Source organism: Homo sapiens, chromosome 2, assembly GCF_000001405.40.
Source record: "Homo sapiens chromosome 2, GRCh38.p14 Primary Assembly".
NCBI classification, from domain to species: Eukaryota; Metazoa; Chordata; class Mammalia; order Primates; family Hominidae; genus Homo; species Homo sapiens.
In genome coordinates, this window is record NC_000002.12 from 43,086,212 (window position 1) to 43,104,993 (window position 18,782).

General features: G+C 47.3%; 1 protein-coding gene, 1 long non-coding RNA gene and 1 pseudogene across 2 annotated transcripts in view, besides 3 other annotated features; all 3 read right to left on the bottom strand.

Annotated features, from left to right (window-relative positions):
- Positions 1-16,234, bottom strand: part of LOC107985876 (uncharacterized) — a 38,401-nt gene extending 22,167 nt beyond the window's left edge. Inside the window, exons 1-2 of the mRNA XM_047446566.1 lie at positions 15,824-16,234; positions 11,747-11,829 (exon numbers count right to left, since the gene is read on the bottom strand). The gene's annotated coding sequence lies outside the window, so the exon portion shown is untranslated. The remainder of the gene's footprint in view (positions 1-11,746; positions 11,830-15,823) is intronic.
- Positions 280-819: an enhancer, noted in NCBI's record as "H3K27ac-H3K4me1 hESC enhancer chr2:43313629-43314168 (GRCh37/hg19 assembly coordinates)". NCBI's record gives its function as "activates a minimal SCP1, AML or CMV promoter by ChIP-STARR-seq in naive H9 embryonic stem cells {active_cell/tissue: H9 hESC(naive)}" and the evidence as "EXISTENCE:reporter gene assay evidence [ECO:0000049][PMID:30033119]".
- Positions 820-1,358: an enhancer, noted in NCBI's record as "H3K27ac-H3K4me1 hESC enhancer chr2:43314169-43314707 (GRCh37/hg19 assembly coordinates)". NCBI's record gives its function as "activates a minimal SCP1, AML or CMV promoter by ChIP-STARR-seq in primed H9 embryonic stem cells {active_cell/tissue: H9 hESC(primed)}" and the evidence as "EXISTENCE:reporter gene assay evidence [ECO:0000049][PMID:30033119]".
- RNU6-242P (RNA, U6 small nuclear 242, pseudogene) lies at positions 5,177-5,283 on the bottom strand (annotated as a pseudogene).
- Positions 11,535-16,234, bottom strand: LINC02580 (long intergenic non-protein coding RNA 2580). Its single transcript, NR_151714.1, has 2 exons — positions 15,824-16,234; positions 11,535-11,829 (listed from the first exon to the last, which is right to left on the bottom strand). It is a non-coding gene; the product is annotated as a long intergenic non-protein coding RNA 2580 (long non-coding RNA).
- Positions 14,616-15,287: an enhancer, noted in NCBI's record as "H3K27ac-H3K4me1 hESC enhancer chr2:43327965-43328636 (GRCh37/hg19 assembly coordinates)". NCBI's record gives its function as "activates a minimal SCP1, AML or CMV promoter by ChIP-STARR-seq in naive H9 embryonic stem cells {active_cell/tissue: H9 hESC(naive)}" and the evidence as "EXISTENCE:reporter gene assay evidence [ECO:0000049][PMID:30033119]".
- Positions 16,235-18,782: the final 2,548 nt, after the last annotated feature.

An 18,782-nucleotide genomic window follows, 5' to 3' on the forward strand; every position in this document is an offset into this window, starting at 1 on the left:
TTTTCTTTTTTTTTTTTTTGAATCGGAATCTTGCTCTGTCGGGAATACAGTGGTGCAATCTCGGCTCACTGCAACCTCCTCCTCCCAGGTTCAAGTGATTCTCCTGCCTCAGCCTCTCAAGCAGCTGAGATTACAGGCACCCACCAACACATCCAGCTAATTTTTGTATTTTTAGTAGAGACGGGGTTTCACCTTGTCGGCCAGTCTGATCTCGAACTCCTGACCTCAGGTGATCTGCCCGCCTCAGTCTCCCAAAGTGCTGGGATTACAGGCGTGACCCACCACGCCTGGCCAATCTTTTTTCATTCCGTCCCTGCATTTAGGCCTATGTTCTCTTCCCCCAGAGACCCACCCACTTCCTCTTGGGGAGTCCAGCCGAGGACAGTGTGGCTTGAAGAACATTCTAATCCCAGCCCGAGAGCTCTGAGAGAAAAAATGACTACAAACCCTGGAATGTGAAGCCTGCTGCTTCCTGCAAAGCATTTTGAATGAAACACGTAACCAACAGCTGCAGCACAGAGAATGGAAACTCTGAGGAACGTCATGGCTCCAGGTTCCAAATAGCAGGGTTGTGAGCAGGACAGGCTCTTCATTTCAGCCCAACCTGGACACCCTCAGCAGCACCCCTCCCTGCTCTCCTTCCAGGAAGCGGGCCCGTCATGCCAAGGATGTGCCGCTGTTGCTCGCTTATTCCAAACACCCCCGGCCCCCAACACAGCCAGACATCCCCGTGTATAGGGGTGAGGCCCCCTTCCCACTCACCAGCCCCCAGAGACATTGAGGACACCCAAGCCCAGCCACTCTGCCCTCTCAGGAGCAGGTTAATGCATCCCTCAACATGACTCCCATCCTGGAACTCAGCCCCAGGCCAGGCTGGGCAGTGCCAGCCAATTCATGCAATGCAGGAAGATATCATTGCCAAAGCTGCTCTAGGGCAGACTTGGGGTGAGGGGGCAGGACAGAGAGCCCATGAGGAGCAAGAGGCCCTAGAATTGGAGAATTCCTGAAGATCACTCCTGCATGAAGGGGAGACATGCGAACATTTTTTCAACTTCTTTAGGGAGATATAACACACTCAGTAAAACACACTCGTCTTAATGGCGTGGCTTGATGAACTTTTACATACAAACACACCTGGATGAAATGTAGAACACTGCAAATACCCCAGAAGATTCCCTGGATCCCCTTCCCAGTCAACATTCGTCCCCCTCAGAGGTGACCGTGATTTGGAACTTCTCTCACCATCAATTAATTTTGCCTCTTTTTGAACCTCATTGAAATGGAATCACCAACAGCATGTGCTTTCATGACCAGCTTACCTAGTTCATCCTGTCTATGAGATTCATCCACGATGCAGACACACTAATGACCCCATGGCACCTCCCACACTCCAGGTGCTGTACCAAGGATGTCATGGTTACTTGTTTACACTAAGGCCTTGACATTGAACCCATTTTCCAGATAAGGAAGTTGGTTGAATCAGCAGTTCATTGCCACACAGTCAGGACTTGGAGAGACTGGAATTCAAACCCAAGAGAGAACCAGAACAGATTCTCTCTTCTATTTTCTCTTAACAAACTTACAGAGACCTGCCTCCATTATACCTAGAGATCTACAGCCTGGAATTTCCTCACAAGGGAGACCTGTTTCAGGGTTTTGTGCTCTTGGGAACCCAACAGGAGCACCCATTTTACTTTAGTCCCCTATTCCTTGGGGGACATGGGCAAGGCAGAAGAGGAGGGGTGAGCAGCAGGTGAGGAGGGGTGAGCAGCAGGTAAGGAGGGCGTCTCAGGAGGCCCAGACCCAGGCAGAAAAGGTTTCACAGGAAGAGAATGAAGAGGTTCATTCATTTAGTCAGCCAATATTTATTGAATGCCTGCTGTATGGCAGGCGCTGTCCTAGGCACTTACTTTTTGGTTATCTACCTGTATGTATCAAACCACTCTAAAATGCAGTGGCTTAAAATGGACAACAAACATTTATTATCTCTTATAACTTTATAAGTTGGCTGAGCAGTTCTTCCACTGATCTCACCAAGGGACTTTTATGCTGCTGCAGCCAGATGGCAGCTGGAACTGAAGTCATCTGGGAGCTAGACTGGGCTGGCTGAGTCAAGATGGTGGCCTCACATGTCAGGTACCCTGGAAAGAACCTGGAGGGCTGGGCTAGGCTGGGACTGGTGCATTGATGGGATTCCTTCTCTCCTGCTGTCCTGTATGGGCTCCTCCTTCTCCATGTGGCCCTTCCACATCTCCTCTTCATGCGCATTTCTCCAAGAGGGTATCCAGACTTCTTACATCACAGCTAAGGGCTCCCAGAAGTAATAAAGTGGAAGTCACCAAGCCTTATTAAAGTTTAGGACTGGCAATGGCTTGGCACCACTTTGGACATATTTTGCTGCTTAAGGTGAATTACAAGCCTGGACCAGATTCAGCACGGGAAGGAACTCTAGAAGGGAATGAATATCATCCAGGGCCATCTTTGGAGAGTAGCGACCACCCCCCCAAAAAGAAAATCATTGTCTTTTTTCATTTATTCAACAAACATTCACTGTCAGGCACATAGTTCCTTCTTAAATAGAGTACACTTAAAGTAAACACCACTTTTGTTTGACTCACTATCATTCAAGATACCAGCCACTGAGAAGCTCTGTAAAGGGTAAATAGCATTCATTGAGAGTTTACTGCATACCAGACCCTGAGCTCAGTGCTTTACAAAGTCTAACTCATTTACTCCTTACTTGTTTTCCCTCCTTTGAAGTAGGTATTATTGTTTGTCCTGTTTTCTAGATCACTTAGAAAAGAGGTTATGTATTGCTGAATAACAAACCACCTCCAAACTTAGTGGTTTAAAACAACAATAATCATTTATTATCATTCATGGTTTCTTTGGATCAGCTGGGAAGTTCTGGCTTGGGGTCTCATGAAGCTGTAGTCAGACTGTGACTGAGGATAGGATCAGTTTCAAGGCTTCTTCACTCACAGGTCTGGTGCCTGGGCTGGGAGGACACAAACAAGCGGAGGCTGCGAAAGCCAGGGTCTTTCAGGCATCTCTCTATCTGTGTGGTTTCTCCACATGAGCTCTCCAACATGGCAGCCCCAAAATAGCTGGACTTTTTTTTTTTGAGACGGAGTTTTGCTCTTGTTGCCCAGGCTGGAACGCAATGACACGATCTTGGCTCACTGCAACCTCTGCCTCCCAGATTCAAGCAATTCTTCTGCCTCAACCTCCCGAGTAGCTGGGATTACAGGCGCCCACCACCATGGCTGGCTAATTTTTTTTTGTATTTTTAGTAGAGATGGGGTTTCTCCGTGTTGGCCAGGCTGGTGTCAAACTCCTGACCTCAGGTGACCCGCCCACCTTGTCCTCCCAAAGTGCTGAAATTACAGGCATGAGCCACCGCGCCCGGCTATAGCTGGAGTTTTTTACATGGCCACTCAGCAATCCAAAGGCATATATCCAGAGAGACAGAAGCTGCGTCACTTTTCCTGATCCAGAACTTGGAAGCCATGCAGTGTCACTTCTACCTCATTCTATTTGTTAAGGCAGTTAAAAAGGCCTGCCCAGGTACAGCAGGAGGGAGAAACAGTTCCATTTCTTGATAGGAAATGGGTCAACAATCTGAGCCATATTTAAAACCACCATAGTCTATCCTCTGGACATAAATTATTTACATTCCTTTCACATACAAAATATACTCATTCCTTTGCAAAGATCCCCCAAAATCTCATCTATTATGGCATCAGATTTAGGCTAGAGAGGTCTAGGATCCCATTATATCAACCATTCAGGTATGGAGGAAGTTCCTCAGATGTAATTCCTCAGGCACATTTCCTTAAGTACTATTCCTCTTTATTCAGAGACTTGTGAACTAAAGAGACAAGTTATCTGCTACTGGACCGCATGCAGTGGCTCACACCTGTAATCCCAGCACTTTGGGAGGCCAAGGCAGTTGGATCACCTGAGGTCAGGAGTTCAAGACCAGCCTAGCCAACATGGTGAAACTCTCTCTCTACTAAAAATACAAAAATTAATTGGGCATGGTGGCAGGCACCTATAATCCCAGCTACTCAGCAGGCTGAGACAGAAGAATCGCTTGAACCCAGGAGGCGGAGGTTGCAGCAAGCCAAGATCACACCATTGCACTCCAGCCTGGGCAACAAGAGTGAAACACTGTGTCAAAAAAAAAAAAAAAAAAAAAGTTATCTGCTGCTTACACACTGAACATCCAATGATGAGATAGGCATAGTGTAGCCACTATAAACACTCTTATTCAAGAGAGGGGAGAGGAGGCACAGAGCCATGACTGGTCCATAGCAATTCTGAAATCCATTCAGGCTCATATTGTGTTGCCAATTTCTTGATTAGGGCTCAGTTCTACTGCCTGGGAATGATTCTTTGTGGCTTTTGGCTCTGTTCTCTAGATTCTTGGTTCCACCTTCTGAATCATCCTTCTTTCTCTATAAAAAATGGCTGGTGATATGGTTTGGCTATGTCCCACCCAAATCTCATCTTGAATTTCCACGTGTTGTGGGAGGGACCTGGTGGGAGGTAATTGAATCATGGGGGCAAGTCTTTCCCGTGCTGTTCTTGTGATAGTGAATAAGACTCACGAGATCTGATGGTTTTAAAAAAAGAAGCACAAGCTCATCTTCTCTTTGCCTGCCACCATCCACGTAAAATGTGACTTGCTCCTCGTTGCCTTCTGCCATGATTGTGAGGCTTCCCCAGCCATGTGGAACTGTAAGTCCAATTAAACTTCTTTCTTTTGTAAATTGCCCAGTCTCAGGTATGTCTTTATCAGCAGTGTGAAAACAGACCAATACACCTGGTGTTTCCAACTGAGTAGTTTTCAGCTTGTTTCCTTCCCATAGAATTTTGGGGGTCCAAAAGCCTTTTTTCATTTCACACTATTCTGACCCTTTTTGCCCAAGCTGGTGGTGCTTCTGACAAAATAATTCTATTAAAAACTGTGTGGGTTTCCCATGAATCCTATTGGGGCTCACTCTGTTAGTCAAAAGCTATAACCAAACATTTCATCAAGAAAACATTCTCTACATTCTCAATGTGAGGCTGGTGTAAAACGATTTACTTAAGATACTTAGAAGCCCTGTTGTTTAATGAAGAGGATCTGTGAGGCACACTCTTTTTCATTTTATTTTTAATTTGTTTTTATTTTAATATGAAGTGCTTCATGAATTTGCATGTCATCCTTGCACAGGGGCCATGCTAATCTTTTCTGTATTGTTCCAATTTTAGTATACGTGCTGCTGAAGCGAGCACTGAGGCACACTCTTGAAATACTTAGAGGGCCTTTGTCTATTCAAAATATTTTATGAAGCCTTAGATATTTCTGAGATTTTAACAAAGGTTCTTATAGTCCCACTCTGGGTTTTATCTTTGTCCTGAAGCCCTTTCATACTTTGAGAATCTTTTGCCATCTGGGAGGCTGAGAATGAAAAGCAGATTTATTTTCAAATCCAGCAAGCCCCTGGCTCTTGTATATGTTTTATAAATTTTGCTTGAAAGTTAAAGCTTCCTTTTAACTCATCTTTCTCTGTCTTTATCATATACAGCTAAAATAATCCAACTAGCATTTTCTAATCCAACTAGCATTTTCAACAGTCTGCTTAAAAATTGTTTTAGCCCAAACCATTAGTTCATTAGGCATATTTTCTTTTTCATTTTTCTTTTTTTTCTTTTTTTTTTTGAGACAGAGTCTTACTCTGTCACCCAGGCTGGAGGGCAGTGGCACAGTCTCAGCTCACTGCAACCTCTGCCCTCTGGGCTCAAGCGATTCTGCAGCTTCGGCCTCCCGAGTAGCTGGGATTACAAGCATGAGCCACCAAGCCCAGCTAATTTTTGTATTTTTAGTAGGGACAGGATTTCTCCGTGTTGGCCAGGCTGGTCTCGAACTCCTGACCTCATGTGATCTGCCCACCTCGGCCTCCCAAAGTGCTGGGGTTAGAGGTGTGAGCCACCGTGCCCAGCCTTCATTAGGCACATTTTCTATTGCTCACATAGCTTCAAGTGACAATGTTACTAACTTTCTTCCACCACGTAATAAGGGTTTGTCCCCTTTCCTCCTGCTTCTAATAAAAATTTCTCACTTTCCTTTAAGCCCTCACCAGCAACTTCCTTGAGAACTATCAGACTTCCATCAACAATATCCTCAAAGTCCTTACAATCTCTACCCATCTCCCAGTCCTAAAGCCACATGACTTAGGTTCTGTGATGGCAGCATTCCGTTTCTAGGTTATAGAAAAGTCTGCATCAGCTATCTATTGCATGATAAGAAACCATCCCCAAACAGTGGTCTTAAGACAACAACAATCATTTATTTTGTTCCTGAAATTTGAGGGTTGACAGAGACTAAGCTAGGCAGTTCTCACTCAGGGTGTCTCATGAGTTTGCAGTCAATTGGTGGCTGGGGCTGAGGTCAGCTCAAATGCTGGGGTCTAGACTAGGAGGTTCACACTGCTTGGGGCTGGATGGCTGGAACTCCTCAGGAATCTCTCACTTTAAATGCAGTCCCTCTACAAGGCAGCCTCAGGGTAGCTGAGTTTCTTTCACAGCAGCTGAAGCCTCCCGACATGAGTGTCCCTAAAGGAATCATCAGAAGCTGCAGGGTCTTTTCTAACCTAGCCTTGGAAATCACACAGTGTCACTTTTGCCACATTCTATTTGTCTAGGCACTCCCACATTTCCACCCAGGTTCAAAGGGAGGGGACATAGGCTCCACTTCTTGATGGAAAGAGAGTCAAAGGATTGTGTACACGTTTTAAAACACACAAATGTTTAAGTAATATGTCCAAGGCCAAATAGCTGGAAAGTGACAGAGTTGAGGTTTGAACCCAGGCATTCTGATTCTAGACTCACATTCTCAACTGCTAGTCTACACTGCCTCCTGTAAGTTGTAGACACAAATGGTCTACATGATGCAGAAGTTGGGGAGACAGGGGTTCCCTGGCTTGGGAAAGTTACTGTCTTGCTTTTCTGTACTCACCTTCCTTTCAGAAAGGTAGTAGGACTCATATTACCTTCTTCTGGGGTGGAGTGGCTTCCTGACTGTAAAATGAATGAACAAATCAGAGCTGGAGCAGCCTCCTCTCAAGGAATTATCTCTTCCTTGAGATCATTTTCTTCCCATGGCCATCAGTGCCTTGACTGGTTTCCATGTCACTCTCATTGTGGCCTTCAGACACCTCCTTGTCATCTGTTCCTGTGATCTTGCTCTTAACTTCTCACCACTAGTTTTTTAGTTTTTTTCACAGGGGGATGGAAGAGTACCCTTTGGCATTTCTTTCTTTCTTTCTTTTTTTTCTTTTTTTTTTGAAATGGAGTCTTGCTCTGTCACCCAGGCTGGAGTGCAGTGGTGCAATCTTGGCTCACAGCAACCTCCGCCTCCTGGGCTCAAGTGATTCTCCTGCCTCAGCCTCCCGAGTAGCTGGGACTGCAGGCGCGCACCACCATGTCCAGCTAATTCTTTGTATTTTAGTAGAGATGGGGTTTCACCACATTACCCAGGCTGGTCTTGAACTCCTGAGCTCAGGCAATCTGCCCACATTGGCCTCCCAAAGTGCTAGGATTACAGGCGTGAGCCACCACCCCTGGCCTATCCTTTGACATTTCAAGAATGTCTGCCAGCCTGTTTGGAGGAAGGCATCCTTTCAAGCCTGAAGATCATTCATCAGAAGATGAGGCTTCTGTGGACTTTATCAGGCCAGAGAGTTTTTCTACATTTCCTTTAAGTCTTGACTTTGAGCAGGTTTGACTTTTAACATCTTTGTCATGAGCCTTAAAGTCCAGAATAGGACTTGCATGATAGTCCATGTCCCGTGAATCTTGTCTGGAATAGCCCTTCATATTCTGAACAATGCCTAGCTGCAGAAGACAGATCATCCCAAAAGCACATGGTGGACAGGTGTAAGGCCGCCATAAATGGGGATGTCATCTGTGCAATGCACAAAAGGGCTGGGCCAAGGAAGTGAGCAGAGTATGGCCTGAAACCCAGCCCGTGCTCCACTGGCCAAACCTTCCACCCTCGTTAGAGGCTGTGTCCGCCTGAAGGAAAGAACAGCTTTTTCTTGCTTGTCCACCCAGAGTCAGGCATCTTTTTCTAACTCAATAAAGATACCATATGTATTAACAGCAGCACCAGGGGAAGGTGAGAAGACAAAAATATAGTAACCTACTCCATAGGACAAGTAATAGAAATCAACCCTGACAAATCACAATAATATGACAAAATTCACAATAATGAATAAAACATTACAACTACAGTCAAATCCCTGCCCCAAGCCCTTCTCTCTCCCACTCACACAGATATGAGTGCCATCCTAAAGTCGGTGGCATCATTTCTAAGAGTGATTTTGGTTTTGACCTTTTGTTTGGCCCTAAATTTCAAGAAAAGGTTGAACAATTGAGCCTCAGGAAAGGATGTAAGCATCTGGAGTCAATGCATCTCCTCACCAGAACATTCCCATTAAAGCAACCACATTCCCACAGCTCCCTGTCTCTGCCCCAGTTCAGAATTCCAGAATCTTGAGACAGATAATCTGATTGGCCCAGCTTTGACCCTCTATACCAATCAGCTATGGCTAGGGCCAACAGGAGTCATAGAATATAGCATCTATACCATAGACAACTGCTCAGCCCCCTTGCCATGCGTGTCAGGTTGGTGCCCAGAGAAAAAGCCCTAATTGTGAGACTTCCAGCCCTCCAAGAATTCCTAGAGCAGTGCAGTACGATTGTCTAGGATTTGTGATCTTCCCAAAAAGTCCTGGGAAGTTGATCTGACCCAACAAGTGAGAACAAAATGCTCCTATAGCTCTTTAGCCATTTCATTTCACCCTACAGACAGCAGGCAGTGACATTTTCCATTTTCCACATTTTTCCAAAGATCTTATTTATTAATGCTTTTAGCATCAATAAAAAGTCAAATTCTTCATATTCTTCTCCTTATTAAGACTGTGTCATCGGGTATGGTGGCTCATGCCTGTAATCCCAGCACTTTGGGAGGCTGAGGTGGGTGGATCACTTGAGGTCAGGAGTTCAAGACCACTTGGCCACATGATGAAACTCCGTCTCTACTAAAACTACAAAAATTAGCCGGGCATGGTGGTGCATGCCTGTAATCCCAGCTACTCGGGAGGCTGAGGCAAGAGAATTCCTTGAACCCAGGAGGCAGAGGTTGCAGTAAGCCGAGATTGAGCCGAATGCACTCCAGCCTGGGTGACAGAGTGAGACTCCGTCTCAAAAAAAAAAAAAAAAAAAAGAAAAAGACTGTGTCACAGAAGACTAGAGCATTCAGCTCTGTAAAACTGTTCAGAGGCCAACCTAGCAACAGAAATGAATTCTACTTTGGGAGGCCAAGGCAGGAGGATTACATGAGGCCAGGAGTTCAAGACAGTCTGGGCAACATAGCAAAACCCTGTCACTACAAAAATAATTTAAAATTTAGCCAGGGCCAGGCACAGTGGCTCACATCTGTAATCCCACTTAGGGAGAACAAGAAGGGAGGATCACTTGAGTCCAGAAGTTTGAGATCAGCCTGGGCAACATAGCAAGACCCCATCTCTATTCAATAATTTAAAAAAAAAAAAAATTAGCCAAGCGTGGTGGCATACAAGACTGTAGTCCCACCAACTTGGGAGGCTAAGGCAGAAGGATTGCTTGAGTGATCCCTGTCTCAAAACAAAAAAAAAAAAAAGAAAGAAAGAAATGAATTTTGACAAAAGCCACAAAATTAGTTTGTAGTGTCTTGATTGGCAACCTCTTAAAATATTTTTTAAAATTATGATATACAGTCATGAACCACATAATGATGTTTCAGTCAACAAAGCATTGCATATACAACAGTACTCTCATAAGACTACGATACCACATTTCTACTGTACCTTTTCTATGTTTAGATACACAAATACTTGCCATCGTATTACACTTGTCTTCATTATTCAGTACAGTAACATGGAGTATGGGTTTGCAGCCTTCAAGCAATAGGCTAGACCATATAGTCTAAGTTATATAGTCAGCTATTCCATCCTAAGTTTGTGTAAGTACACTCGATAATGTTCACACAATAACAAAACTGCTTAACAACGTATCTCTAAGAACTTATTCCCCATCATTAACTCATGCATGACTGTATTTAAAATGTACACAAAATGGTTTAACAGAAACCCTCATAGCCTCTCCCCAGATTCAACAGATATTAACATTTTGTTTCAGATTATCTTATCTTTTTTAAAGGAATAAAACATTACAGCTACAGTCAAATCCCTGCCCCAAACCCTTCTCTCTCCCACTCACACAGATATGAGTGCCATCCTAAAGTCAGTGGCATCATTTCTAAGAGAGATTTTGGTTTTGAGCTTTTGTTTGGCTCTCAGGTGCAAAAGTTTGAGTTCATCATTCTCCTCGACGGCACGCTGTCATCACCGTTCTGTACAGAGGCCCTCTCTTGTTTTATTTATTTATTCCTTTAATCCTCATTCACCAGCCCAGTCCCCCATCCATAAATGAGGCAACCACATTAGTGTGTTTGACATCACATCTTTGTCTGTGTCTCTACAAAACATACGTTGCTGACTGGGTGCGGTGGCTCACGCCTGTAATCCCAGCACTTTCGGAGGCCGAGGCACGTGGATCACCTGAGGTCAGGAGTTTGAGACCAGCCTGGGCAACATGGTGAAACCCCGTCTCTACTAAAAAGACAAAAATTAGCCGGCCATGGTGGTGGGCTCCTATAATCCCAGCTACTCTAGAAGCTGAGGCAGGACAGTCGCTTGAACCCTAGAGGTGGACGTTGCAGTGAGCCGAGATCGTGCCATTGCACTCCAGCCTGAGTGACAAGAGCGAAACTTTGTCTCCAAAAAAAAAAAAGTGGCCTTTCTCTGTGCATGTATTTTTAGTTTATATGAATGATGTGCTGCAGATTTCATTCTGTTTCTTGCCTTCTTCAGGCAGCACTGTTTTAAGGTTCATCCACATTGTTGGGTGTACATCTAGTTGGTTCTGCATTCGTCTCATTGTGTTATACTTATCCCATTCTTATTCCATTCCCTAGGTGAAGTGGGAGAGAGAGGGGCAAACTGAGGAGATGATGGGCCTGTCCTTGAGACTCCATCCTAGGAGAGAGATACTAATACCCCCTTTCTAACCACATGTGTACATGTGTGCAGGCACATGTACACACACACACACACGTATCCCTTCAGCTGGGGACCCGGGAAGGTTGGGGTGGGAGAAAGAAATAGGGAGTTCAGTCAGAGGAGGATCTATCCTGGAGCTCTGGTACTGTTAAATCTAAGTCTTTGCCTCCTCCAGGAAGCCTGCCTTGACCACCCTGTTCCATGCAGGTCTCTCCCTCTTCTGGGGATGGCAAATGTCATTTAATCATACACTAGTCTAGTCTAGTCTTTCTGTTACTATCTCCCTGATCAGACTGAAATCCCATTAAAGGGAAAGATCATCTCTTGTTCTTTTTGTCTCTCTTGCTCAAGGCCTGTCCCAGAGGAAGTGAGAGCAGGGAGTGGGAAGTTGGATTTCGCTTTATTCGGTTCTACTTCCTCTGTTTTAGGAACATGCCATCTTTCAGCAAACAATTATGTGCCAGGTTTGTAGAAGTCTGGAGAGGAAACACATGCACTGTGCCAGCTCTCGGGGGCCCTTCTCATGGGAGTTGTGAACATCCAAACACGAAGCTGGAGGACAAAGTGTAGGGTACACAGATCTGAGCATGTACCTGGGGCGCAAAGGAGGAACCACCAGCTCAGTGCACAGGGAGGCCAGGGAGGGCTTCTAGCAGAGGTCACAACCAAGCTGAACCTGAAAGAGAAGAGTTAAGCTTAGAGCTGGGCTTGGAGCAAGGGGAATATGAATTAACATGGGGAGGATGCAAGAAATCTTGTGTGCGTTCCAGTCATTATGGCTGTGTAACAAATTATCATAATATTGGCATAAAACACCCCTTAATTATGTTTGGTATCCAGTCAGGGTCAGGAATCCGGACAGGGCACAGCAGGAGGAGCTTGTCTCTGCTCTCTGTTGACTGGGGCCTCCACTGGAAACACTGAAGGCTGGAGTTTGGAATCATCTAAAGGCTCATTCACTCACAAATCTAGTGGTTGAGCCTGGTTGCAGGTTGGAGGCCTCAGATCTCCTCCACATGGGTCTCTCCATGTGGGCTAGTTTGGGCATTTCCATAGCACAGTGTTTAAATTCCTACAGCACACATCCCAAAGAAGAGAGAGCGAGCTAGGTGGAAGTTCTAGCTTTTATATGACTTAGCATCAAAAATCATCCCTTTTGCCATAGTCTGTTGGTCAGACCGGTCTCAAGCCCCTATCCCAATTTGATGAGAGGAAACAGAGACCCCCTTCCTCTCAGTGGGAGGAGTGTCAGTCACACTGCAAGAGCCTTTGGGTTGGGAGATATATTGTGGTGCAGTCATCTTTGGAAAACACAATCCCCACTGCCTGTGTTGATGGGGATGGGAGGGGGTAGGGGAACAACAATAGACCAGTGTCTACTATTGCTGGAGCACCACGTGCAAGGTGAAGGCAGGCGGAAACAAGGCAACTGGGATAGGTCAGGCCAGGTTCTGGAGGGTCTTAAAAAGCACATGTAGAGGTTGGGTGCGGTGACTCATGCCTGTAATCCCAGCACTTTGGGAGGCTGAGGCAGGCTGATCACAAGGTCAGGAGTTCCAGACCAGCCTGGCCAACATGGCGAAACCCCGTCTCTACTAAAAACACAAAAAATTAGCTGAGTGTGGTGGTGCGCGCCTGTAATCCTAGCTACTCAGGAGGCTGAGGTAGGAGAATTGCTTTAACCTGAGAGGCGGAGGTTGCAGTGAGCTGAGATCGCACCATTGCACTCCAGCCTGGGCGACAGGGTGAGACTCCATCTCAAAAAAAAAAAAAGCACATGTAGGACAATGCTTACAGGCAAAGGAAGACTTTGGAAGCCCCAGGACTCCTGCTTACTTATTCCCATCCACCCAGCATCTCCTGTGTGTTGGATCAGAAAATATGCAAAGCCCCCCATGAGTACCTGAAGCAGAGGAACTCTCAGGGTTTAGGCTTTCACATAGGCTGGCTCTTCAAATGTATGGTAAGATGGTGGAGAGCAGTAAAGCCAGGTCTGTGTCCTGGGAGTTAGAGTCAAGAGTAGCTAGCCAGCAGCTTCCTACCCCTGTTCCTATGTTCGCATACACACCATATGTACCTGGCCAAGCCCAGTCTCTCAACCTGAGTCCCATGGATGCTGCTGCTTGGGTGGCAGGTGGGGACTCTTCAGAAGTGCCCTGCCAGGTCCACTTTGAATGGTCCTAGGCAGAGCACGATCCATGCTTCATACACACAGGCTCAGGAGGTGTGGGCCAAAGGGGTAGCATGATACCAAGAAGAGAGCTTTAGCTTGGGATGGGAGTCCTGTGTCCTGATCCTGCCTCTGCTCAACCAGCTGTGGGCCTCAGGGAGGACATTTCCTCTGCTGGACCTTGCAGGCAAATGCAAGGATTGGACTAGACAGGAGTTTTCTCCAAGTGTACTCCTTGGAACTCATGCATTAAAATCACCCACCCAGAAAACTACAGCGAGATACCACCTCACACTCACTAGAATGCTAAAATCACAAAGACTGACAATATCAAGTGCTGACGAAAAGGTAGAACAACTGGAACCCTCATATATTGCTGGTGTGGATACAAAATCATATAGCCACTTTAGAATCTAGTAAAGCCAAATACCTTCTCTATGACCCAGCAATTCCACTCCTAGACATTTACCCAAAAGACAAAAACACGTGTTCACAAAAAAAAGTCTCGTACAAAATGATCATAGCAGCTTTATTTATAACAGCCAAAAATTAGAAACAGTCCAGGTGTCTGTCCATCAACAGGTGAATGGATCAAAAAAAACTGTTTAATCAAAAGAAAGAAACTAAACTATTAATACACACAACAGGAATAGATTTCAAAAACATGATTCCAAATGAGAACAGTCAGAAACAAAACAAATGTATACTGTATGGCTCCATTTATTATGGAGTCCAAAAACTGATGAAACTTTAGGAATAGTGCTAGAAATCAGAGCAGTAGTTACCTGGGGGGATGAGCAGTGGGGTGGAGAAACTGGAAAGAGGACCCATGGTACTTTCTGGAGTGATGGAATTGTTCTATATCTTGATGAGATGTGGGTGACATGGAATTGAACACCTAAAATCTGTGTATTTCATTTCCCCGCTATATCTTATATTTTATTATATATTATTAAAAATATTTGGACTGGTAAAATGCAGTTTTCTGGGCGCCCCAGAATCCCCGAGTCAGGGAGTCCTCTGTGGTGAGGCCCTGGAATCTGCATGCTGAAAGGGCTCCGGCTTTGGAGAGAGCATTAGACTTGAGGCCGAGGTCCCCAGGGGCGATACCCACACGCCGCTCCCTGCCCCCCACCCCGGGACGCCCCCCACTGCACACGATCCCACTCGGCCCTTGGCACTTCCCCCTCTCCCCAAGCCCCCAGCCCTCTGCCCAGTCGCCCCTGGTAACCAAGAAAGGGCCTGAAAATCCTCAAAGTGCAGCCGCCCGGGGAGGGGCCGTCCACAGTGTCAGCGAGACAAGGGCACATACAAAATGCGGGGTAATTGCCGCTTCTCTAATTCGCGGCCCTTTGTGCGGCGGCGCGGAGCCGGCGGCCGCGCTCCCAAGCCCGGGCCTTTCAGCCACCCAGGGGGGGCCCCGGCGGCCGAGCTCCCCGCGCTCCGCCGCGCATAATTAATCGGGCTTCACAGGGCCCGGGACAAAGGCGCCCATTCACCCCGCCGCTCCTCCCCCCGGGGATATTGTTATTTCTAAAAACTGCAGCCAGCTGGGCCGCAGAGAAACGTCAGCTCTGTGGGAGAATGAGCGCCCGGCCGGGCCGCGAGGAGACTGGGAGCTCTGTCTCTCGCGCCCCGCGCGGGATTACAGCGGCCAGGGAGCCGGGGTGGGCAGGGGGCCCAGGGTCTTTTCTGAAGTCTGCACGACTCCTCAGAAAGCCTCGTGATTTCCATGGGGCCCTGGAGGAGGGCGCCATGGAAATGGTAATGCGGGGCATTGAAGCTGGCTCGTAGGGAAGGAGGGGGGTTGCGTCCAGGCTGCCCGGGCTGTGGCACGACTCCCGGGTGGGAGGGGCCGGTGGACGGCCCAGTGGCCAGGCCCGGGTGCCCCCACCTGTACCAGGCCCTCCCGGACACCGGGAAAAATGCATCCAGGAATAAAGGCCCGAGTCTGGGTCCAAGGAGCCTGCAGTTAAGTTAGGGGCGGGGGATGTGGTGCCTCCACAGTAACCCAGCTCCGCTCCAAGGACCACCAGGAGAGCTGGTTGAAAGCAATGCCTACACACGCCTGGGCCTCACCACCGGGAATTCAGGCTCCCAACTTCCCAGGCATCTGCCTAAGCTCTCCAAGCACCTCTGAAGCCCACCAACATTTGGTGACCACTCAGCACTGTCCCGGGAAGGTGGCTCCAGTGCTCCACGTCCCATTTCACAGGCGGGAAATGGGCCCAAGGAGATAAACGGACTTGTCCAAGATCACAGAACAGAGCTGGAACTGGACCCTCGGCATGCTGGTTGTATACAAAAGCAGAACAGAAGAAGGGAGAGGGTGCTAGAAAGGGGGGCTCAGGCCTCACTTCCTCCGCTAAGCATCCCCTGGCAGCTGGGGGCATCTGAACTCTCCCTTCCCTGGCCTCTCCTTGCAGGAGACGTGCCTGCCTGGTTAAATGCCTCCAGCGTGTTCTGTTCTGCCTGGTGGATTTGCGGGGGGTTCTCCTACCTGCTCCATCAGAGGCACTGTTGAGTGCAGGCCCAGAGGCCCCACTGGTTTTATGCCAGGGTTGGTGCCCAGAAGAGCTCCAGCCAGGGCTTACTGGATGGGAGCAGCATCTCCTGACTCCAGGGTCCAGGCCTTCTAGGCTGCATTCCCCTTCAAAGTCCAGTGTCCTCCCCAGGCCCGGGAGAGGCCCAGGTCCCAGGTCGGCAGTGCTGGTCTTCACCTTTGCCACTGAACCCGAGGAAACGAGCACCCGTCTATTCCTCCTCCCAAAGCTGGGAGCAGTTGTGAAGAGCCGCCATAGATTTCCAAAACCTCAGCATCCTGAACGCCTCCCAGAGCAAGCAGAGGCCTTTCCAAAACACTTCCCCTCCGAGCCCGTCTTACTGAGACATTCTGTCCCTCGGCTATACTCTGGAAAATGTTCCCTCAGCCTAAGACTGCCAGTCCCAAGCAGGACCACAGGCCTCAGAGCCAGACCGCACCACAGGGCCTGGCTCCTCCAGGCAAGTCAGGGAAAGGAAGCTGCCTGTATTTTCAGAGGAGCCCAGGCTTGCCTCCAAGGCCCAGAGAGGGTGCCCAGCCAAGCTCATTTCTGCTGCTACCACGCCATGCAAGACACTGGAAAGCCAACATCACACGACATTCACATCTGTGGGTGGAAGAATGTGCAGAAAACTCGAGAACAAAGTAGAGGGAAGGAGAGCACAGAGTTCAGCCAAGCCTCTAAGGGGACAGACCAGCTGTCCAGTAACAAGCAGACTCAAGCATAGCTGCGGAAGTCAACAGATTTTCCCTGGGGGACCCTGTGACCTAGGCAGCCCCCAACAGCCAGGCCACCAGCACAGCATCAAGCAGAAAACCAATCCAGCTCTCTCTCCCATTAAATCAGCTTTACTTAAGATATAGAATGACCCAATACTGTCTGAAAATGAAATGCCCAAGGCTCAGCTAAGAGGAAGCCAGACTACGTAAAAGAATGTCCTTGAAATATAAACTGAAGTATTTAAGGGTAAAGGGGCAAGATTTCTCTAAATTTTTCTCAAATGATTTCATAAATGTAAATAATTGGTGAATCTGGGGAAAGGGTATACAGGAATTCCTTAGTCTTATAAACTTTCTGAAGTTGGCAATTTAAAAAACAAAACGGCAGGCAGCAGACATGCCAAAACATGATAGCACTGATATTCCAAATGCCATACCCAGTGAAGGGACTCAACTCTTCTGTTACCTTCCCCCTGCAACACACAGTCACACTCACACTCAAAATACTTGGAACCGCACGCTTAAGATCTGTGCATTTCATTTCCCTGTTATACCTTATATTTTATTACATATTATTAAAAATAAAATATTTGAACTGGTAAAATGCAGTCCAAAGATGCATGCATCTTTCACTGTCTTCTGTCATAGCAATTTGTGAACCCAAGTCAGGCCCAGCGTCCTTAAGGGGAAAGCCAGTGTTGTTTACCTCTGAATCCTACTGCAGCTAGCAATGTACTTTGTAAATGGTAGGCATTTAACCAAACCTAGAATCCAATCATTTGCCATGGAAGGTTTCTAGCTCTAAGTGAGGTGGAAGGAGGAAGGGAAGGGGGTAGATAGCCAAATGGAAGAAGAAACCAAGAAAGACGGCAGAGTCCACATGGATTTTCCAGTCCAACACACTCATGTCAGAACTAATTTTTTTTGTTTTTGTTTTGGGGTGTTTTTTTTTTTAAGACACGGTCTCACTCTGTCACCCAGGCTGGAGAGCAGTGGCACAACCTCGGCTCACTGCAACCTTTGCCTCCTGGGTTCAAGCTATTCTCCTGCCTCAGCCTCACGAGTAACTGGGATTACAGGCGCGCGCCACCACACCTGGCTAATTTTTTGTATTTTTAGTAGAGGCGTGGTTTCACCATGTTGGGCAGGCTGGTCTTGAACTCCTGACCTCAAGTGATCTGCCTGCCTTGGCCTCCCAAAGTGCTGGGATTACAAGCGTGAGCCACCATGCCTGGCCAATTTTTTTTTTTTTTTCAAGGTTAGTTAGTGGTCAGGCCCACCTAGTGGTTACCAGAGTCAACAATGGACTTATTAAACTTTGCCTCATTCTCTGAGTGTTTTGTGTATATGAATATAGTCTCTCCAGCAAGACCACAGAGGTAAGGGCCTTTCCTCTCCCTACCCTCCCACGGCCATCCTCATGAGCTTAATAGAGACACAGACCCGTGATATGCCCTTAAGTGCCTCTACCAGACTCGAAGCTCCATGAGGGCAGGGCTGTGTCTTGTTTGCTCTCTTCCGCATCCCCAGCACTTAGCACAGCGGTTGACACATTGTTGGTGACTAGTACATAATAGTTAAATCACGGAGTGAATGAATGGGAGTTTTGTTGAGTTTAATTGAGTTTAGTTGAGTTGGGTTGAGTGGGGTTGAATTGAGTTGGGTTGGGTTGAGTTGAATTGGGTTGAGTTGGATTGGGTTGAGTTGAGTTACCTTGTTCCCCAGGGTACACTGAGCAGGCTCTTTGGGAGTCATGCTTCTGACATCAGATGCTCAACCACAGAGTCAGAACCAATGCAAACCTCCCCTCTTTGCTTTAACTCCCACCCTCAGAGTAGATCTCTCTGGCTGCTGAATCTATCACCAAAGGTGGTGGAGCTTTCTATGGCCAGTGTAATACGATCAAAGTTAGGATAAGGTCTTCTTCTCATGGTCCTTTTGGGTGGGGCTACTTTGGGAAGAGGAGCTTTGCTAAAGCACTTTTCTGGTGAAGGCAGGATCTTCTGTAGGAAAGCTCTGGATTGAAGTTATGGTACCACCACCCCCCACCTCCGCCACCCCATCACTCTATCCCCACATATACAGTAGGGACAAGGCTAGGGCATGGGGGGCAGCAGAGAGCAGCACCCTGCAGGTGCCAGTGACTGAGGGAGAGCAGTAGGCCTGAGGGAAGCAGTGGGAGTGTGACCCACGATCA